We start from the raw sequence: 20,301 nt of genomic DNA on the forward strand, positions 1-20,301 counted from the left end.
TGTGTCATGGAGCCGCTGTGTGGTCCGGGCAGGAGGTGGTGGTGGCTTGGCCCGATGGTTGCGGTGGAGACCAAAAGCTGGGGATGGGTCCCTGAGAGATGGAGAAGAACCTAGGGATTTGGCGGTGGGTTGGATGTGGGGCCAGAGAGTGGCTGGTCAGGACAGCGCCCAGGCATCTGTCTCGGGGCCCTGGCTGACTTGCAGCTGAGCAGGTGAGGGTGTAGAGGGAGCAGGGCGTCCCCCGGCTGTCCCCTGGGCCTGCCCCACAGGGAGAAGGGTGGCCCTGGACCCAGACTACAGCAGAAAGGCACCGGGCCTTCATGGCAGCCTGGAAGGAAGGTGCTGTCCTCTCTCCAGAGGTGGGTGCCAGGGGCAGCGGTCTGTCCAGGGCCTGCAGTCAGGCCTCAAAGAAGGAACTATACCAGCCCCCTCGGCTGCTGCCCCAGCCTAGGAACCCGGGGACCCTGGGTGAGTCAGGAGCCAGCCCCCTCCGTCTGCCCCAGGAGGCCCTGAGTAGGAGAGGAGGGCCCTGGGGTGGCTGAGCACCCCCAACCCTGAGACTCGCGGCCAGTGCCTCACCTCTTCCCTGCCACCTCTCCTCTGATCGCATCCAGGGAGGAGCTCAGCACTGTTCCTGCCACCGGCCCATGGCTGTCCCACCGGGCTGGGGCAGGCAGCCCACCTCATCCACCAACCTCCTTGTCACACACACTCACCCACAAAACATACTCGCAACTCATACCCACATTCTCTCTCATAACCCTCACACACAGGCACACACTCACATCCACACAACTCACACACACTTACACCCACACCCACACTCACAACTCACATCCAGAGTCCATCTCACAACCCTCACACCAACACAATTCTCACACTGTCTCACACACACACTCACACCCCCCACACACAACTCATCCAGAGTTCATCTCACAACCCTCACACCACACAACTCTCACACACTGTCACACACACACTCACACACTCAGACCCACACTCACATCCAGAGTCTATCTCACAGCCCTCACACCCACACAACTCACACGCTCTCACACACACACACACCCCACAACTCTCTCTCACACACACAACCCTCACACCCACACAACTCTCACACACACACTCACACACTCACACCCCACACACACAACTCACATCCAGTCTATCTCACAACCCTCACACCCACACAATTCTCACACACTCTCTCACACACACTCACATACCCACACCCACACTCACCACTCTCACACCCACATTCTCACAACCCTCATACACAGGTGCATACACCCACACAGCTCTCACACACACAGACTCACACTCTCACACGTGCACTCTCACATACACTCTCACACACAACTCTCATCCCACATTCTCTCACAACCCTCACATCCTCACACCCACACAACTCTCATATACTCACACTCACACACACACTCGTAACACAGTCCCGTGTTCTCACACATGCTCGGAGGCTCACAGCCTCCCATACTCCTGCTTCCTCACTGTGCCGCACCCTGGGCTCCCCTGTTGCCCCACCAGCCCCCTGTGCCCACACTGCACAGTCACACTCATGAGCATGCACACTCACTGATGCACTGCCTCATGGCCGCATCCTTAGAGGCTGGGGTCACACACAGCTGCACACTGGCTGAGCTCCCTCAGGTGCACACCCCGCTGCTCCGATCCATGCGTTTCACCCACGAGTTTACGCAATTCCAAGTGCAAATCATTCACATGCACCTTCACTCTGGAGTTTTCACCAGAACCCTCAGGCCCCTGTGGCAGGGCGCTGTCTGCCTCCCTGGGTAGCCTGGGACACCGAGAGCCACCTGAGGTGACTGCAGTGTTCGTCCCCCCATCTCTGCAGGGCTGTATTGGGCTGGGGGAGGAGAGGGGCCTGTGACCGAGAGTGTAGGGCCGGCCCATGGGAGTGAGATGGGAGAGCACTGGGGAGCTGCTCCAAACCCACGAAGGGAGAGCTTTGTCCAGGCCAAAGCTGGCTGGGCATGAGAGAGAGCTTCCCATCACAGGAGGTATGCAAGCACTGGCCAAACCACTCTCTGATAGAGAAGGCGTGGAGGGGCCTCCAGACTGCCTTAGAGGTAGATGGGGTTGGAGGGAGAGTCCTGCAGAAGCCTCCGGCCAGACACCCTGGGAGCCAGAGGTGGGGGTAGAGGAGATGGGCCAGGGCAGAGGGGGCAGGAGAGGGCGGGCAGGGGCAGGTAAGGGTGGGGCCGGCAGTCCCGGAGGGTGGGGGCTGTCTCGCCGTGGCTGCCATAACTCAGCCGGGATGGACAGTTTCCTTTCTCCTGCCTGATTTACTGCCTGCTTTGGAGGGGTGAGGCCCATTCTTTGAACTTCAAAGGGAGCACTGAGTGCAGCCACACTGGGGTGACAGCCTGCTGAGCTCGGGGGTCCGTCTCCTGGTCCCCCGGAGAGGCCTCGGGTCCTGGGTTTATGGACACGCACCAAGCCTTGCCAAGCCTCCATCCTCTCATCTGTAAAATGTGGTCCTAGCTCCCAGCCCCTGAGAGGACAAGATTTACCTCCATGGCCTATTTTAAATGCCAAGGGCTGTGACACCCAGAAACCTGTTCTAATTTCTTAGTCTAGGAAGCTCTAATCAGGACACGGAGGGACCTGTCACTTCTCCTGATTTTAGGTTTGCTTACGTATTTCTTCTACCCATGATTCCTTTATCATCTTCACAAAGTCAGAAATGAAGGGAAGAATTCATATTTTTTTCTTTCCCTATTTTGCAGGTGGGTTAATTGAGGCCCAGAGACATTAGGCCCGCCTCCTAATCACCCAGAGAGGCCTCTAGCCCCGTCGCTAGTCTCTGCCTGAAACGGCCCCAGGTCCTGTGCACACAGGGATGGGAGCCAGGCAGCATCTGTTTGCTGTTTTTCATCCCTTTTGCTGAAGGACGGGCTGGCTGCGCTTTGCCACTGAGCCCCATGTAACCACAGCCGCCTTCCCCATCTCTGGGCCTCAGTTTCCTTGTCTGTAAAAAGGGCCTGTACGTTCGTGCTCTGAAACTGTTATTTGGAAAGAACGCCAAGCCCCATACTGGCAGCTGTGGTGCTTGGGTCAGGCCTGCAGATGTATTTTCTTTGTCCTGTGTTACGTAAAACATCAGGGCAGGTGTTGACGTTCAAATGTAGGAGGTTTCCCATACAAATTTGGGTTTCCACCTTCTCTTGAAGAATTAGAAACTTTGGTTGTACTGGTGATCCCAAGCTGCTAACCTCAGGCTGGAGCTGGGGGCATTGCCCCACTAAGGAGGTGGACGTGTCTCCCACACCACACCCCTTTTGAGCCAGGGCCCTCATTAATGTGCTCTGCCTGGCCCCTTAGCTGCCTCTGTTTGTGACTCCCAGCTCATCTGAACTAACCTTCTTGGACTCCCTGCTCTGTTTCTCACCTGCCATGTGACCTTGGGCAAGTCACTTAGCTTCTCTGAGCTTCGGAGTGGACTAAAGTATGTGATGCCTGGAGCGGGCTCAGCACAGGCCTCTTGGCATTTTGTCTGTGCTCAGGAGGCGTCATGGCTGACTGCTGCTGAGCTCGGTGGGGACAGAGGAAGGAGACCTCTGCCCTGCCCTCCTGCATGGCATCAGATGGAGGCAGTGGGCTAAGGGGAGCAGCTCAGGCTGTGAAGCCAGAGGGACCAGCAAGTAGAACCCTGGGAAATCAGAGACCCAAAGAGGTGCCATTGAGGAGGGAGGCTGGGCACTGAGAGAGCTGCTGGGAGGCCAGGAAATGGGGATAGTGTGAGAATGACCCTGCCTGAAGGGGGGACAAAAAGGAGCTGGTCAGACCGCAGCTCATCTGGGAGGGGGCGCAGGGGTGGCAGGGTGGCTGGCAGAGGGCAGAGGAAGCCACCAATGCCCTCCGACCACAGAGTGGGGATGGGACCCATGGAGGCTCTTGAGCTGGGGGCACCTCTGCTCTCCAAAGTCAACAGAGATGCGAAAGTATGCAGTCACCTAGCGCCTCTCCTCAGAGGTTCTGGGGCCCATGGACAGACCAGTGCCAGGGGAGGGCGGGTCTGGGTCTTTAAACCTGCCCACCCTGGATGTGAAGCTGTCCCTGCCCAGGTGAGTCAGCCAGGACTTTGGGTCTCAGCTTCACCTCCATGTGGCCCTGGTAGATTCCCTTGCACCCCTGAAGCCTTGGTTTCCACATCCATAAAACTCAGGGATGAACCACTTGGTCTAGAAGTTTCCTTCAGTGTAGGCAAGTTCTGGTTCTTCATCTTCAAGGGTGAATGTGTTCCTTAGAGGAGGGGTATGGGGGCAACTGCCTTCAGTCCCCTGCTGGTGAGTGGTGAGCGGTGAGCGTACAGCCAGAGCTGAGGTTCTATTTGTGTGTCTGGTAGGGGGAGGGGTGGCAAGGGCATTCTAGGGAGAGGGAACCCTCCCAATCCATCTTTCGGTGCTGCCACTAGGCAGAAATACACAAAGACAGAATATTTGTTAAGCGTTTACTATGTGCTGGGTTTTGTGTGGGGCCCCACAGAGCAGACACCTCAGACAGAAATGCACCAACTGCCTCGTGTCCCCAAATGTGGCAGCCAAGGGCCTCCCCAGCTCGCCCAGAGAAGGGAGCTGGTTGTACCAGAAGGAAACCCTCAGTTGGGAATGTGTGCTGTCTTTTAGAAATGATTTGGGGGCCATAAATTTTCAGTGGCAAAGCAACCCTCAGACTTTTCATAACGCTGAAGAGTTTAGACTTGTCTCGAGGGGTAACAATTTCACCCAAGTAGTGCACCAGCTCCAACTATTTGTTATTGCAAAGGTTGATTTTTTTCCCCTTAAGGTGGAATCTTCAGATTTCATGCTGTGCTTTAACTTGTTTTATTTCACCCGGAACACAAATAAAAATAGCCCAAAAGATGTATGGATCGACTTGAGAGAAGTTTCTTCCTTCCTCCTTGTGTGGAGGGAGGACGGAATGTTGAGTGTTCACATGTCCTGGGCCTTGCTTTGGGCGCATGAGAGCCCCTGGCAGCCTCTGCCCAGGGCTGGGTGGGGTTGTAAGGACCCCTCTAACTGGTTGCATCCTCAGGACAGCTCCCCCACAACTTAGCCATTTTACAGTGAGGAACGAAGACTCAGAGGCATCTGGCAATCCATCCACAGTCTCACCGCTGGGCATTTTGGTAGCCAAGGTTTAAACTTAGGTCTTTGTGACTTTAAAGCTTGTGTCCGTTTTGGGGCAAATCTCTTGAATCTCGAGTCAGCACTCACCATCTGAAGCCACGCTCACCCTCTCTCCAGCTGAAGTGGGAACTTTGAGTGTGAACAAGATCGCAGGGGGAGAGGATGTTTAGCATAGTTGGTTCCAGGGCTGATTTGAAGTCTCCTTAAGCACCGTGGAAGCACCGTTTCCATGCCAACAGCTGCTCTGTGCCACTTACAGGCATTTATATCTACTCGCTAAAGCAGGCCCTTAAAGAATGCCAAAGGGAGCACTTTGGGCTCAGAAGCAGCTCATTTGCATTCTCTTTGCATATCCAGTAATTTTTCTGGATTCTCCCAAAATGGGCCAGCTGACACAGTGAATGTGTTGTCTCTAGGGCCTGACTTGACAGGATAAAAGGTCTCAAAATTGTGCTGTTTGTTATCAGAAGGGAGGGTCTGCGGCTGCTGAGCCTTGTGGGAGGTAGGGGGCCTGTGGCTAAGCCCTGGCTTCTGCAGGCTGCCCCAGGACAGGGCATGCAGGCAGACACAGGGCTCAATGGGGTGGGGAGCAGATTCTAGCTCAGTCAGCCAGAATGTTCTCTAAGCAGAGCTGTTGAGATGAAAATCTTCGACTTTTGTGAGCACCACGAGGTGCTTTATGTATGTTATGGTGCATTCTCCCGTGAGTGAGACGTGGTTGTCCTATTCCACAGATGAAGAAGGGAAGTCACTTGCTTCATGGCCAGGGAAGGGCTCCAGCAAGACATGGGCTCCTGAAAGTGACAGTGTGTGAAGGCCCGGAGAGGCACAGGACCTGGTGAGCTGAGCGGGGGGAGAAGGCATTCCAGGGTGAGGACGGAGGTGTGGAGGGGATGTATTCACTATCACAAAGAACCACCAACAGGGGACCTTAAACAAGAGAAAGGGTTGCTTTCTCCTGCAGCCTCTCTCCTTGCTTGTAGATACCGTCTTCTCCCCGGGTCCTCACATGGTCTTTCCTCTGGGCATCTGTGTTCTAATCTCCTCTTCTTATAAGAACACCAATCAGCTTGGATTAGGGCCCACCCTAAGGACCTCATTTCACCATAATTACCTCTTTAAGGCCTGTTTGAGATATAGTTTCCATTCTGAGATACTGGGGGTTAGGACCTCAGTATGTGGATTTTGGAGGGTGACACAATGCACCCAAAGCAGTGGAAATTGTCATGTGGGTGTTGGTGGGAACACTGAGAAGGGAAGGAAGATGTAAGACAGTGGATGGGGGAGAGCTTGGTTCTGGGAGCCTTGCCTGACAAGCTGAGGATTTGGTCCTCTCCTCCTGTGTGATGGACACATGCCATAGTCCCCATGGCAGGGAGTTTCAGGATGAAAAGGACTTTGGAAGTCAACTAGGCTGATGCCAGCTGGGTTGGACTGGGTTGGGGGTACCAGGGGAGGCAGCTGTCTTTCCAGGAGCAGCACACTCAAGTGTCGGGTTTTCTCTGAACAGGCCAGTTTTCTGGGGGCTTAGGGGCCCTCCAGTCTGGCAAAAGTAACCGGTCTTGCTCAGGGTGCAAGAACAACATCTGACTCATCTCCATGTGCCCAGCCTGTCACAGCACGGAGCCTGGCACGGAAGAGGCACTGATTGGTGTCAGTCAAAAACCGGATGTCGGTCAGGACACTGGCTCTGAGCAGCAGGTGGCTTCTGTTGGTTATATTTCTTGTCAGCTTAAAAAATGTGTTTTTTAGCCTGGGCTCCCAGCTAAACACAGAGCCTGAGGCAAGGGTTTAGGACTTGGCAGTTTATTTTGAGGCGCAATCCCAAGGACAAGGAGGATTGAGGGGAGTGAGATGGAAGCCCCCAAAGCCAGTCCAAGGGGGCATTATTGAGCCAGTCACTGCTGTGGGCAATGAGGGCTCAAGCCTGCTGGGGGCCCTCTGTGGAGTGTGTCGGGTGCCTCAGGATTGTCCTCCCAGGGAGGGGGTTAAGTCCTTATGGAGTGGAGCGTCCCTTCCCTCCCCGCACTTCTGGTTTGCCCATGTGTCAGCATGGCTCTGGGGGAAAGTACCCTGTCCCATTTGGCGGCTTCAGCAGGCCCATGAGAGATCATCAGGGCTGGGATGTGAGGCACTCTAGGTTGATCCTATGCAGAACTGGTTGTTGCAGACACAGCTGGAGGGCAGGCATGGCCCAGCACATGTGAGGTGGGAGACAAGAGATGTCAGATACATTTTCCAAGCTGGCAGGAAGTATAATTAATGGAAGCCACCTGTCACTCGGAGCCAATGTCCTGGCTGACATTTGGTTTTTCACAGACACTAACGGGTGTCTCTTCCATGCCAGGCTTCATGCTGTGCCACTCTGGGCACGTGGATCTGAGTCAGGTGTTGTTATTGTATCCTGAGCTCTGGACGTCAGTTAAGGGGACCATTGCCATCCTCATCGAGGAGTGCTGGGAAGAGGCCTGTATAGACTACAGGGCAGGCACAGAGCAGGGACTTGCCATTTCTGCCTGGGGTGGATATGGGGTGGTTAGGGTCCCCCCATATCAATTGTGGATCTTAGTTACAATCACCCAAAAGTGGCTCTGGCTTGGGCAGAGAGAAAGGTTTGGGTGGTTGTGGCAGCTGCTGCTGCTGATCTACCCTGCACCTGTTCTCCTCCCCTCCTGCCTGGGGGAGGGAAGTGTCACCCATGGATCAGAACCCTGGAGGCTGTGAAGGCGTGCTCTAGGCAGAATGGAGGCATCCAGGCAAAGAAGCATGAACTGAGGCCCCTGTGGGCACCTGCTAGACCCCAGATCTGAAATCTGGGGTGCTGCCATTCTTCCTGGGCACACAGATAAGCACATCCCTCAGGCTGACCTGCAGTTAGGGACTGAGTTCTGGCCCCTGGGCTGTGGACGGAAGTAATGCCTGCCATTTTGAGGTCTGGCCCAGAAAAGGCGAACTCCTCCTGCAGACAGTCTGTCTCCACTCACTGGCTGGAAGATGCCAGGGTGCCCTCCAAGCCGCACAGTGAAGACACTGGTGCACAACATGGAAGGAACCTCAGTCCTGAAGTGACCGCGTGAAGCTGAGCCCCTTGGCCAAGCCTCCTTGAACTACAACAAGAGCGAGAAATAGATCTTCATGGTGATGAGCTGCTGAGATTTGGGGCTGTTAGCTTTCTCCAACCAATACAAAAACTGGTAATCTGAAATGGGCATTACCAGAAGAACCTGTAAAGTGTGGCATTGGCTGTGGAGTGACAGTGTGGAAATTGATATTAGAGGCTGTGAAATATGGCAGTCCACGTTATGAAGTGGCAAAGTATTTGGGAGAACAGTTGCCTATGATAGCTGGGAAGACAGAGCATACCAGCATTGAGCCTGTAGCTCCAGGGGAAATGGTTGGAAGGAATTAACAGATTAGTGTGTCTTGGCTACCATGGGCTGCATTTGGCAAGGTCTTACAGGAAAGAGATGAGCTCAGGAGAGTCACAGCTGGTTTGAAACAGAAACAAAAGGGAACAGAAAGAGGGGCTTTTCAGGGTTGGAAAATTAAGCACATCTGGAACTGAAACAGTAGGAAATAAGAGCGAGAGACACTTCAGACTGCAGTGAAGATTAGAAGAAGGATGTGACATTTCCACTCAATTACATAGCCTTGAGATTGTCATTATTATGTTGGGAGGAAAAGGCAGGGAGGCAAGGAAGCAGGGAAAAAATAAATGGGGCTGGACAATTAAGCCTAGGAAAGAACCACGGGTATGATCATTGACTGGCATATAGGACTGACAGGAGGCGAATAGATCAGAAAGTTAGCTATGGAGGGAATTGCATTGATAAGGACACAATGATCCTGGACTCAGAAGAGTCTTTGACTGAAACTTAAAATACCCTTGGGGTCCCCTACTATCCACAAGCAGGAAGTAGGTTCCGAAAATTCTGTGGCATCTGAGGAGGGAACTCCACTGCACTCCCACATCAGAGGCGGCCGCGGAGGAAAATTAACAAAGAAGAGCTCATAAAGGGTGAACTCGGGTCAGGGGGGAATGGAGAAAATTTTACTTTATTTTATTACTTTTTTTGAGATAGAGTCTCCCTTTGTCACTCAGGCTGGAGTGCAGTGGCTCGATCTCGGTTCACTGCAACCTCTGCCTTCTGGGTTCAAGTGATTCTCTTGCCTCAGCCTCCCAAGTGGCTGGGATTACAGGTGCACACCACCAACCCCAGCTAATTTTTATATTTTTAGTAGAGACGGGGTTTCACCATGTATTGGCCAGGCTGGTCTCGAGCTCCTGGCTGCAAATGACCCGCCTGCTTCAGCCTCCCAAAGTGCTAGGATTGCAGGTATGAGCCACTGCACCCAGCTGGACAAGGGGTTTTCTTTTTATTATTATTATTATTATTATTATTATTATTATTATTATACTTTAAGTTTTAGGGTACATGTGCACAATGTGCAGGTTTGTTACATATGTATACATGTGCCATGTTGGTGTGCTGCACCCATTAACTCGTCATTTAGCATTAGGTATATCTCCTAATGCTATCCCTCCCCCGTCCCCCCACCCCACAGCAGTCCCTGGTGTGTGATGTTCCGACAAGGGGTTTTCTAGGAGAGCAGAGCCAGAGTCTAGTCAGGGGACACCCTTGGCCGCCAGGGTAGAGAAATCTCTCAGTCCCTGCCCCTGTGCAATGGACTCTGCACAATGGACTGCTTGCTGTTGAGTGGTTGCCATTCCTTTCTCTTCGGAATGGGAGTTTTTACTGAGGTTATCTTATCCCTGCCTCACGATCACATTGTGTGTGTGTGTGTGTGTGTGTGTGTGTGTGTGTGTGTGTCTATGTGTATGTGTGTGTATGTGTGCATGTGTGAGTGTAAGGGGATGATGAACACATTTTCTCTATAGTTCACAGGCCACCAGACAATGCGGTGGCTGGATGAGTTTTGGGTTGTATCCCTTGGGGAGAGAATGAGCTTTATCTATGTGTGGGAAGGAGGGCCTCATGGGTATGTGGTGGCAAGGGTGGACTGTGGCAGAGACTGCTAGTGGAGAGCAATATCCATGTCGCCTCCTTTCCTCCTGGGTACTGAACGAGGCCACATTCCCTGCTCCTAGCAGTTAGCAGGGGTCATGTGATTGAATTATGGCCAAAGCAATGTGGGCAGAAGGGACACACACCACCTCCAGGCCTGGCCTCCAAAACCCTGCATCCTCCTCCCCATGTTCTCTGTTTTCATTCGCCAGCTGGAGGATGCCAAAGTAAACTTGGTGGCCACATGTCAAAGACGGAGATGCACAAAATGGGAGGAACCTAGATCCCTGAATGACTTTGTGGAGCTGAGCCCCTAGGCCACCCTGCATTGGATGTGAAATGAGTGAGAAATAAACCTTTGGAGTTTCAATCCACTGTGATCTGGGGCCTCTTTGTTACAGGATTAATTTATTTTGACTCATACACACTTCTCTTGGCCCCCTCCAAGCCTGGATGATCTTTAAAAGTCATGTTAATCTTCTGTGGAAAACTTGTGGCTGGTCCTGTTGCTCATAGAGCAGTCACAAACCCTTACTGCAGCCCACAGGGCCCAGTGCCAGCCCTCTCCTATCTTTCCAGCCCTTTCTCCTTGCCCTCTCCCTCTTGTTGTCTGTTCTCTGGTTATGCTGGCTTGCTTTCTCTCCTTCAAATATCCCACGCTGTCTTCTCCCTCAGCATTTCCCTTCTGTTCCTTCTGCCTGGAATTCTTCTCTTGCCCTGTGTTGTCAGGGTCACCCCTAGTATCCTTTAGATCTTAGCTCAAATGTCACTTCCTCAGGGAAGATTCCCAGTTCCTTCAGGTGGATCGAGTTCCCCCCATGTGGATCTTAGTTACGATCACCCAGAAATGGCTCTGGCTTGGGCAGAGAGAAAGGTTTGGGCAGTTGTGGCAGCTGTTGCTGCTGCTGATCTACCCTGCATCCATTCCTCTCCTTCCTTCTTCCTAACAGACACCAGTTTAGTTCAGAGGAATGATATGTCCTTGAAGCTCCTTCCCCAGATGCCCTTCTGGCTAGAGGTGGCCACTAGACCCAGTTCTGTCTAGAGGGATGTGACACTCTGCTTGGTGGGTTCCTAAAAGGCTATTGTTTCCTGAAAAGGCTGGCACAGGCCTTTCCCTCTCTACCCTCCCATCTTCTTGCTGCCTGCGTGAGGATGAAAGCCACATACTAAGGATGGAGGACCACGAGCTGGAAAGAGCCTGTGATCTAGATGACAGCCACAAGCAGCTGCCCCAGCCCTGGCCTGCCAACCTCCAGGGAAGGCCAAAACCCTATTTGGCAAAGCATGGAAACAGGGTTGTCTTTGTCCATTTTCTGTTGCTTGTAACAGAATATCTGAAACTGGTCAATTTATAAAGAAAAGGAATTTATTTCCTACAGTTCTTGAGGCTGAGAAGTCCGAGGTCAAGGGGCTGCATCTGGCAAGGGCCTTCTTGCTGCTGGGGGCTCTCTGCAGAGTCCCAGAGTGGTGCAAGGCATCATATGGTGAGGGGGCTGAGTGTGCCAGCTCAGGTCTCTCTTTCTCTTCTTAGAAAGCCACTTGTCCCACCCCCATGATAACCCATTAAGCCATTAACTCATTAATCCATGAGTAGATTCATCTACTCATGAGGACAGAGCTCTCAAGGCCCAATCACCTCTTAAAGGCCCCATCTCTCAGTACTGCCATATTGGGGATTAATTTCAACATGATTTTTGGCGGGGCCAATATTTCTGTTTTTCATCCTCAAACATATACAGAGCCCCTACAATGTGTCAGGCCCAGGGCCGTGTGTTGGAGACACAGCACTGAGCCAAATCGACCATGATTCTGCCCTCCTGGAGCAGTCTTGGGAGGAGACCAGATGTCACACACACACATGCATGCACACACACAGGCGCACACACACGCATGCACACGCAGGTACACACACACACACAAGAAGTTACAACCTCTGGAGGTGTGGGGAGGGCTATGAAGATAGTGAAATGGTGCAGAGAGAGACAGTAACCGGAGACTTGCTGTAGGTTGGGGAGAGAGGTGCAGAGCAGGGCCAGGCAGTCTTCTGGTGCAGGCGACACTAGCTCAAGCAGGGAGGTTGGGGAGTGTGAAGCAGGGTCACTGTGCACCATGTCAATCCCAGGGGAGGACTCTAAACACCTCGCCCACTGCACTTTGAGTTGTGTTAATTTATCACTTGCATGAGTCCAGTGAGACAACACTCACCTACGGCAAGTTACACAAACCAGACTTGTTAATTAGAGATAGGTAGCAAGGGACAGCAGAGCCTAGGATTCAGGGTGAGCTGGTCCCCCAGGCTCGGGAAAGCTGCCCTGGGTGGATGGAGTCTTGTCTGCATGTGCCCCATTTGCACTGCAGCTGAAGGGCTCTGGAAAGCAGTTGGCTCTGGGTTTCATATCCCCGGGACAATGCAACTTGCTGAGCTAAATCTCTGTAGGACATCCTGCTCTAGGAGGGACAGGAACAGAGCCCAGGGTGTTCTGGCCAGGTCCTTCTTATCCCCGGATGTTGCATCCCCAGCACATTCTACAGCGATTCTTAAAACTTCAAGTAAGAATGGCATGAGAGAGTTGGGTGGGTCCAAGCCACCCTTAGTGCCATCCTGCAGGGAGAGGTCAGATGAACAGAGTGGAGACGAGAGTGGTCCTGGGGGAAGGCCTGGCTGGGCTAAGGCTGCAACCCTGAGGGAGCGCACTGCCTGTGTTTGAGGACCAAGTGCAGGCCCGGTGGAAGAAGCACATCCAGTGAGGGAGATGCATGGTCAAGGATAACACAGCCAGACCAGGCAGAGTTCCCTCTGAGTGAATTGGGAGCCACGGGAGGTTGAGGGCAGGGAGGGACATTCTCTGATGATGTTTTAAAAAGGTCACTCTTGCTGCTGAGTGCATGAGAGACTGTAGCGGGTGAAGGTGAAGGCAGGGAGACCAATGGTGGCTGAGGCTGGGACACACGGTGGTGAAACTAGTGGGAAGCCATGGGTTGGAAGAAATTTAAGAAGTAAAATCAAGACTTGGTGATAACTTGAGGAGGGTGGAGGGGATGAGAGAGACAAAGGTGACCCCCTAGGATTCTGGCCTGGACCCCTAAGTGGCGAGGGGTGCCATTTACTGTGATAGGGAAGACCAAAGCATGAACAAACTTGCAGTTCAGTCCGGAACACACAAGATTCGCCTTGCTTCAAGGGGAGAGGGAGACAGGCATTTGGATATGCTGGTCTGGGGCCCAGGAGAGATCTGCTTTCTTGTTCTTCCTACTCCTTCCACCACTGTCTCTAGACCCCTTCTCCGTGCCTGTTCCTGAGCTGGGGATGGAAACAGAGGCTCAACCTTTCCTGGATTTCTAAAGCTTATGTCCACTGGCGCCCCTGTGCATCCTTCTTGGTATCACATAGGGTATAGTCTTAGCTGCTGTGATTAGGAGACTCCCAAACACAGCGGCTTAACCAAAAGGGTCAAGATAGGAGACACGGCAAGGTTGAGAACAGGTTATTTCTTTCACTTTATGGTCTAGTAAGGTGTTTCAGGGCTAGGAGGGGACTCTGGTATCAAGACCTCTGTCTCTGAGTTCAAGGTGGCTGCTCCTGTGCTCGCCTCCCCTCAGACAGCTGGGAAAGGAGGGGACATGGGGAAGGCACAGTTTTTTTTACAGGTGCACCTGGAAGTGGCGTGCGCCTCTTTGGCTCACCTCCCATTGGCCAGGACTTCCTCCAATGCCCGTGTCTAGCCCCAAGGGAGGCTGGGAGATGCAATCTCCTGGGGGATGGTGGGGCATCATGATCCCAGAAAACTGGTAGAGGGTTCCTTATTGTTCAGAAGAAGGAGAATGTGGAGATTTATGGACAACCATGGTCTCTGCCTTCTTCTCTGGGAATTGGAAGCCGCGCAGTACAGCCCAGGGGAATCTCCCTCACGACGTCCCAAGACAAGTAGCCTAGCATGTTTAGGTATGGAAGGTCTTCTGGGAACCACAAATGAGTGGTTAATTTTAGCAAGCAGGTTGGCTTCTTACTCAGTCTGGGAAGCCTGATTATGGGACCTTGTGGGAGATTCTCCTGAATGTTTTTACCAGGCAGAGTCCCTGGATCCCCTCTGCAGCCCCACCAGCTGCTCCTCCAACCTGGCTTGCATACTTCCCCTGATGGGAAGCTCACTCCCTCCTGGATACCTGTCCCTTTCTTTGGCCTCCTGACTGGGAGGAGGTGCTCCTCATAGGGAGCTCTGATTTTCCTCCTGTGATCAGTCCCCTCCTCCCATTAGTCCTGGCTCTGCCCTCCATTCTCCCCCTACCCCAGAACAATCCTACAGAAATTTGGAGTGAACAACAGAGGCTTCTAAAGCACCTTTTCTATCAGTAAAAGAGAAACATATGACTGAATGAGACTCCTGGGACATTTGAGTTCTCATGGCCAGGGTCAACCCCCAGATACCTATGTGCTATGACGCTGGTGGTCCAGTGTCCCAGCTCTGGACTGGGCTCCAGGCCAGGCTCAGCCAAAGCCTGGCTGTGTGGCCCTGGGCAAGTGGCTTCAGGGCTGAGTCTAACTCCCAACTCTGACCCTGGTCCTGGGGTCAGGTGTGCCACCCATCTGGGCCTCATCTCCAAAGCAGAGGTAGTGATGGACAGTACTGACCCCATGAATTTTCTAGGAGGCTTAAAGAAGCTGCTTACAGAGAACTTAGCGTGCTGTTGGCTACAGTAGAAGAGTTGGAGGGCTTCTATTTTGAAATATTAATGAATAGTTCTTTTTCCCCAAATAGCTTGTGCTACCCCTTGGTCCCTTTTTGCCTTTTCCTTTTTTCCATCAATTCAGTGAACCAGCTTCTTCTTAGCTTTTGGTTTCGAAAACCTAGACCCAATGGGAACGGAAAATCCCAGAGGAGGTCTTTAAAAAGGTAATGAGAGTTCACCAGGTGCTGAGCACTGTTCCCACTGCTGTGCACACGTGGTCTCCTGGAATCTTAAGGCCAGTCCGTGAGGCAGGTGCTCTCATTATTTCCATTTCACAGATGAGAGAACTGAGGCCCAGAGAGGTTATGTGTGTTGCCCAGGGGCACACAGCTAGCGATGTCACAGGGTGGTGACTTTCGGGGGCCTGGATTCTTCACCACCGTGCCCTTCTGCCGTAGACTGTGGTGAGCCTGGAGTCCGAGTCTCCCCAGTCTCCTCCCTGCCTGCTCCAGCTCACAGGGAGGTTTCCCAGACTTGGGGGTGGTGGAGACGAGGAAGGAGGCTCAGGGGGAAGCTGGCTGGGCTCTGGGTGCTCAGGCGGGCTGTGGGCTCTGATAGCAGGCAGGTCTTGCTCTGCCACTCCATGGGAGTGGTGGCTGGTGGAGATCTTCCCTGGGTGGGGCACCGGAGGATCAGAGGGACCTGGAGGGGCACACAGGGGCTGTAGGCACATGCAGGAGAGTTGCAGGGCTGACGGCCTGGTGGCCTGTGGGGTACTCAGCAGACCAGGCCAGACTGAATGGCTCCCACCTCAGGTGCTCTGGGGGAAAGGTGGGCATACCAGCCTGGCCAAGATTAAATTGCTATGAGAGCAGGACTCAAGAAATGAATTTGAGATATAAAAGAAACCTTTTGCCGGGCGCGGTGGCTCATGCCTGTAATCCCAGTACTTTGGGAGGTGGAGGCGGGCGGACCACTTGAGGTCAGGAGTTCGAGACCCACCTGGCCAACATGGTGAAACCCTGTCTCTACTAAAATACAAAAAAAATTTAGCCGGGTGTGGTGGCACATGCCTGTAATCCCAGTTACTTGGGAGACGGAGGCATGAGAATCACTTGAACATGGGAGGTGGAGATTGCAGTGAGCCGAGATCGCACCACTGCACTCCAGCCTGGGTGACAGAGTGAGACTCTGTCTCACAAAAAAGGAAAAAAAGAAATCTTTATTAAAAATTTCTTGAACACCTGAGGCTGTGGCTGGAGTGCCATTCAGGCGGTGTGCTCAATGCATGTCCATTACTCTGGTCTTACTGCTGTTTCTGTGCAGCTGCGAGGGCGAAAGGGAGTTGTATTTGTGTGTGTGCCTGTCGCATGCATGTATGCCTTTGTGTGTGTATGTGTGTGTTTGTGTGTGCCTGTGAGTTTGTATTTGCCTTTGCATGTATTTGCATGACTGTGTGTATGTGTCTTTGCGTGCATGTGTGTGTTTTTATGTGTCTGTGTGCAAGGCATGCATGCTGTGTTGCCTGCACCCAGGCTGGCTGTGCACAGCCACACTCCCTCCCCGCCCCCAGACCCCAGAATGCTGCTCGGTTTCTCACCCTTTCATATTCAAATACTGGCCTAGCCCCAGCATCCCCTGGGCATTTATGGGCTGATCATGTATTGTTGGTGCAGGCTGAGTGGGTGAGCTCATCGCCAGGCTTGGGATGGGAATTCCTGCCGCATCCAGGGGACCTGGGGCTCCCCGATGTGCTCCAGAGGGGCTTGCCTAGGTCCTGCCCTATCCCACCCCATGCCAGCCGCTGCCTGGGTGCACCATTCATTCAATCCAGAAATATGGGACAATGCAAACAACAACTCACATTTGTATATTGGACACTCACTCTGTGACAGACACAGAAGCCCTTTCCATGTTGGCTCCATTTTGGCTCCATTTTATGGATGAGGAAACTGAGGTAGAGGACGATGCCCCAGGGCAGCAGTTACTAGCTGGAATAATTTGAACACAGGCATTTGGTCCCTGAAGGCACGCCCCAACAATTGCACTGCTGCCAGCCGCCCCTCATCCCCCGCCCTCCCGTGGCTCAGCTGTTGGGGGCAGGCGCAGAGCTCCTCGGGAGGCTGGGTGCCCTCCTCGCCCCTCCCCGTCAGCCCCATTGTCTGCCCAGGCTTCCTGTCCCCCAGTCTCTGCAGGGCTCTCCTGGGGTGCGTGGGGGAGGCAGAGGGCAGAGCTGGGACCAGTACTGACCTGCCCAGCAGGGGAGGTATGTAAGTGAGGCTGCTGGGTGCTTCTGCTGGACTTGTACCTGACCCTGGTATCTAGAGTTGGGAAGAGCTGCTATTGCCCTTAGCTGCAGACATGGCCCAGTTGGAGACTGGCTCGGGTTCTGAACCCACACCCCATCACCTCAGATGCCTCTGTTCCACCCCTGGCTGCAGGGGAAGAGAAGCAAGGGGTCTCTCCCTAGGTCCAGGCAGAAATTCATGAATGCAAGGAGCTGGTTAGCACAGTTAGCATCTTGTCTGTAGTTGCCACGGGATGGCTGGAAAGATGGGGTGGGGCAGAGCTTTGGAGTCAGATCCTTCTGGCTTTCTCTCCCTCCTCTGCCCACTGCCAAGTCAGCAAACATCTCGGAGACTCAGTTTCCTCATCTAAGAAATGGAACAACATTGCATCCCCAAGTTGTTGCAAACACCAAGAGTTTCCCTCTGGGAAGGGCCTGCATATGAAGGTGAGGGCTGTGAGGATGATAGTGGCGATGATAATAGTTATTAGAGTATCCTAATAGAAGCAAGTTATGTGTTCATCATCCCTCGGGCACACTTCTAGGTGCTTTACACCTACTATCTTATGTGATTCTCTCAGCAGCCCTAGGAAGGTCTTATTTTTATTCCCATTTTATAGATGAGGAAACTGAGGCCCAGAGAGGTTAGGAGACTTCCTGTGTTAGGCAGCTGGTAAGTGGTGGATCTCAGAGCTGAGATCCTGGGAGCCAAGAGACAGGAGTGGTTATCCCTGCCAGGAGGGTGGGAAGGCTGTCTGGGGAGGCATCATTTTACCTGGCTCATCTGAGAAGGGCCTGCATATGAGAAGGGGAAACATTAAAAAAAAACCAAAAAGGCATTTCTACAAAAGGCAATTTGGTCCCCTGTGCATTTGAGATTCTGTTTTCCTTGGAGTCCTGGGATGCCTTCTCCTCTTGCCTCTGTGATTTCCCTGAGCCTCAGTTTCCTCATCCATGAAAAGGGGATAATTATGGTTTCTGCTTTATTTTGCAGCTCTGAGGATTAAGTGAGATAAAGGTCTTAGCACATAGCAGGTGCTTGTCCTCCTTGAGTTTGCATCTCCCCACCAGCAAGCCTGCCTATGTCCCCTTGCCTGGATCCTGAGGCTCGGGTGTCAGAGAGGCTGCCCTGCAGGCGGGAAGAGGGGTCAAGGATCCTGTTACTGTCGGGCGGGCCCAGCTCTCAGACAATGGGAATCCCATTAACCTCCGCTAGGGAGATCACCATCTGTCCAAACAGTGGGGACTAGGTGTCCCACAGCCTGAGAGTCTGAAGCATCACGCAACATTGCATGCTCCCTCCCCATATATTATCAACAGATTCACCTCAGCCAACCGCACCCTCCCTGCCCTTAGTCTCCCTATCTGTACAAAGGCATCAGCTTCTCTGCTCCAGGTTATAAGCACACAGCTGTTGCTCCCAAAGCTCTGTGATGTGAGCTGAGGTTCAGGTATGACTGGAAGGACCGCCAACAGTCCCTGACCCTACTCACTTTAGATGTGGGGAAACTGAGGCGCAGCAAAGGAAAATTAGTCATTTGCAGTCACTGAGTAGGCCAGCAGTGGGGCTGAGAGTCAGAGCCAGGCCTTTGAGATTGGCGAGGCGTCTGGGTACTGTGAGTGCCATCAGGGTAGGATACAGCCAGGGCTTCAGTGACAGGGGCTTGCCAGCAGGGGTGACGCCCAGGTGAGGAGGAGCTCAGGGTTTACAGGGAGGGCAGCCCAACTCAAGGCGGGCTTTGGCCTGCCATTGCTCAGGCACCGTCCTGGGTGCTCCTGCCTACAGGGCCAGAGAGACTTCCCAAGGCCAGTGTACCAGGCTGTTAACCCCAACGTTCCTGAAGCCCCAGTCCCACTGAGCCAGGCTCCCTGCTGGAGCACGTCCTACATTCCCCATCTCCAGGCCTTGGCTTATGCTGCGCCCAGCCCAGAAGGCCCCTTCCCTCTGTCAACCTAATGGAGCTTTTCCAGTCTAATTTCCTACTGCGCTTCCCCTCCTTCCCTCCACTCTGCCCTTCTCGCTGTTCCTTGAGAGCATCCAACACATCTGCCACAGGGCCTTTGCACTTGCAGTTCTCTCCCCTGGGAGCATTCTTCCACACAGACCTTCACTCCAAGGTCCCTGCTCCAGGGGAGACCAGGAACCTTTGAGCCTTAGTTTCCCCATCCATGAAAAGGGGCTGATGATGGTCCCTGCTTCAAGTTGCAGCTCTGGGAATTAAGCAAGATAAAGGTCTTAGCACACAGCAGGTGCTCCTCCTTGAGTTCAGGTTCTTGAGTTCAGATAGCCTCTCTGACCATCGTATCTAAAATAGACCCCATGGTCACTCTCTGTCCTCTTACCCTGTTTTATTTTTCCCTATGTATATTGGTTTCTTGATGTGTATTTACTGCCTGTCTCCCTTGCTGGAGCAGGAGCTTGGGAGGGCAGGGGCCATGTCTGTCTTGTCCACTGGGGGATGCTAGTACCCCCAGTGTCCAGTGCATGGGAGCCCCACTCAAGAAACAGCCGTTGGATGACTGAGTGAATAGATGTATGAAGAACCTTCTAATGTGGCCCTCATTAAAATGCCTCATCACCATCATTTTATACCTTTCTTGCACCAAACAAATTGGGAACTCCTTTAGGGCAGGGGCATGTGTTGTCCTGCTACGTGCCCCCAGCACCTATCATCAGGTCTATGTCAGATGATGTGCTCGATAATCCACAATAAATAAGCCAATGTGGTACTGTGTTTGCAAAGACAGCTCCCACAAATTCCTCCCTTCCTGGCCACCATGCCTCTCCAAGGTGGGACGTGTCCCTTCCTCCCACCCATAGCCTGGGCTACTTCCCCTCCCCTTGGACACATGACTTTATTTGGCCAATAGAAGGTGGGGGAAGTGATGGCTGTGCCTCAAGACACCTTGGGGCTTCTGCTTCACTCTTGAAGCACAGCCTCAGATGCCATGCACAGAAGCTGTGATTGGGGCACATGGAGGAGACAAAGGGGACCTTGGTGTGAGAGGCTGGTCTACCACTGGGGTGGGCGCACGACAGGGAACTGAGAGGACCACTGAGTGAGGAGGCTGGCCTACCATTGGGGTGGGGGCACATGGAGGAAACTGAGGAGACACCCAAGTTATGGGGCTGGTCTACCATGAAAGT

General features: G+C 53.1%; 1 long non-coding RNA gene across 1 annotated transcript in view, besides 3 other annotated features; it reads left to right on the top strand.

Annotated features, from left to right (window-relative positions):
- LINC00620 (long intergenic non-protein coding RNA 620) overlaps window positions 1–20,301 on the top strand; it is a 95,915-nt gene that overhangs the window by 31,490 nt on the left and 44,124 nt on the right. The window contains exon 2 of the long non-coding RNA NR_027103.1: window positions 5,903–6,006. This is a non-coding gene — a long non-coding RNA (long intergenic non-protein coding RNA 620). The remainder of the gene's footprint in view (window positions 1–5,902; window positions 6,007–20,301) is intronic.
- Window positions 15,037–15,656: an enhancer, noted in NCBI's record as "H3K4me1 hESC enhancer chr3:13738746-13739365 (GRCh37/hg19 assembly coordinates)". NCBI's record gives its function as "activates a minimal SCP1, AML or CMV promoter by ChIP-STARR-seq in primed H9 embryonic stem cells {active_cell/tissue: H9 hESC(primed)}" and the evidence as "EXISTENCE:reporter gene assay evidence [ECO:0000049][PMID:30033119]".
- Window positions 16,276–16,895: an enhancer, noted in NCBI's record as "H3K4me1 hESC enhancer chr3:13739985-13740604 (GRCh37/hg19 assembly coordinates)". NCBI's record gives its function as "activates a minimal SCP1, AML or CMV promoter by ChIP-STARR-seq in naive H9 embryonic stem cells {active_cell/tissue: H9 hESC(naive)}" and the evidence as "EXISTENCE:reporter gene assay evidence [ECO:0000049][PMID:30033119]".
- Window positions 18,379–18,879: an enhancer, noted in NCBI's record as "H3K4me1 hESC enhancer chr3:13742088-13742588 (GRCh37/hg19 assembly coordinates)". NCBI's record gives its function as "activates a minimal SCP1, AML or CMV promoter by ChIP-STARR-seq in primed H9 embryonic stem cells {active_cell/tissue: H9 hESC(primed)}" and the evidence as "EXISTENCE:reporter gene assay evidence [ECO:0000049][PMID:30033119]".

The sequence above is a fragment of the Homo sapiens genome, chromosome 3, assembly GCF_000001405.40.
Source record: "Homo sapiens chromosome 3, GRCh38.p14 Primary Assembly".
NCBI lineage: Eukaryota > Metazoa > Chordata > Mammalia > Primates > Hominidae > Homo > Homo sapiens.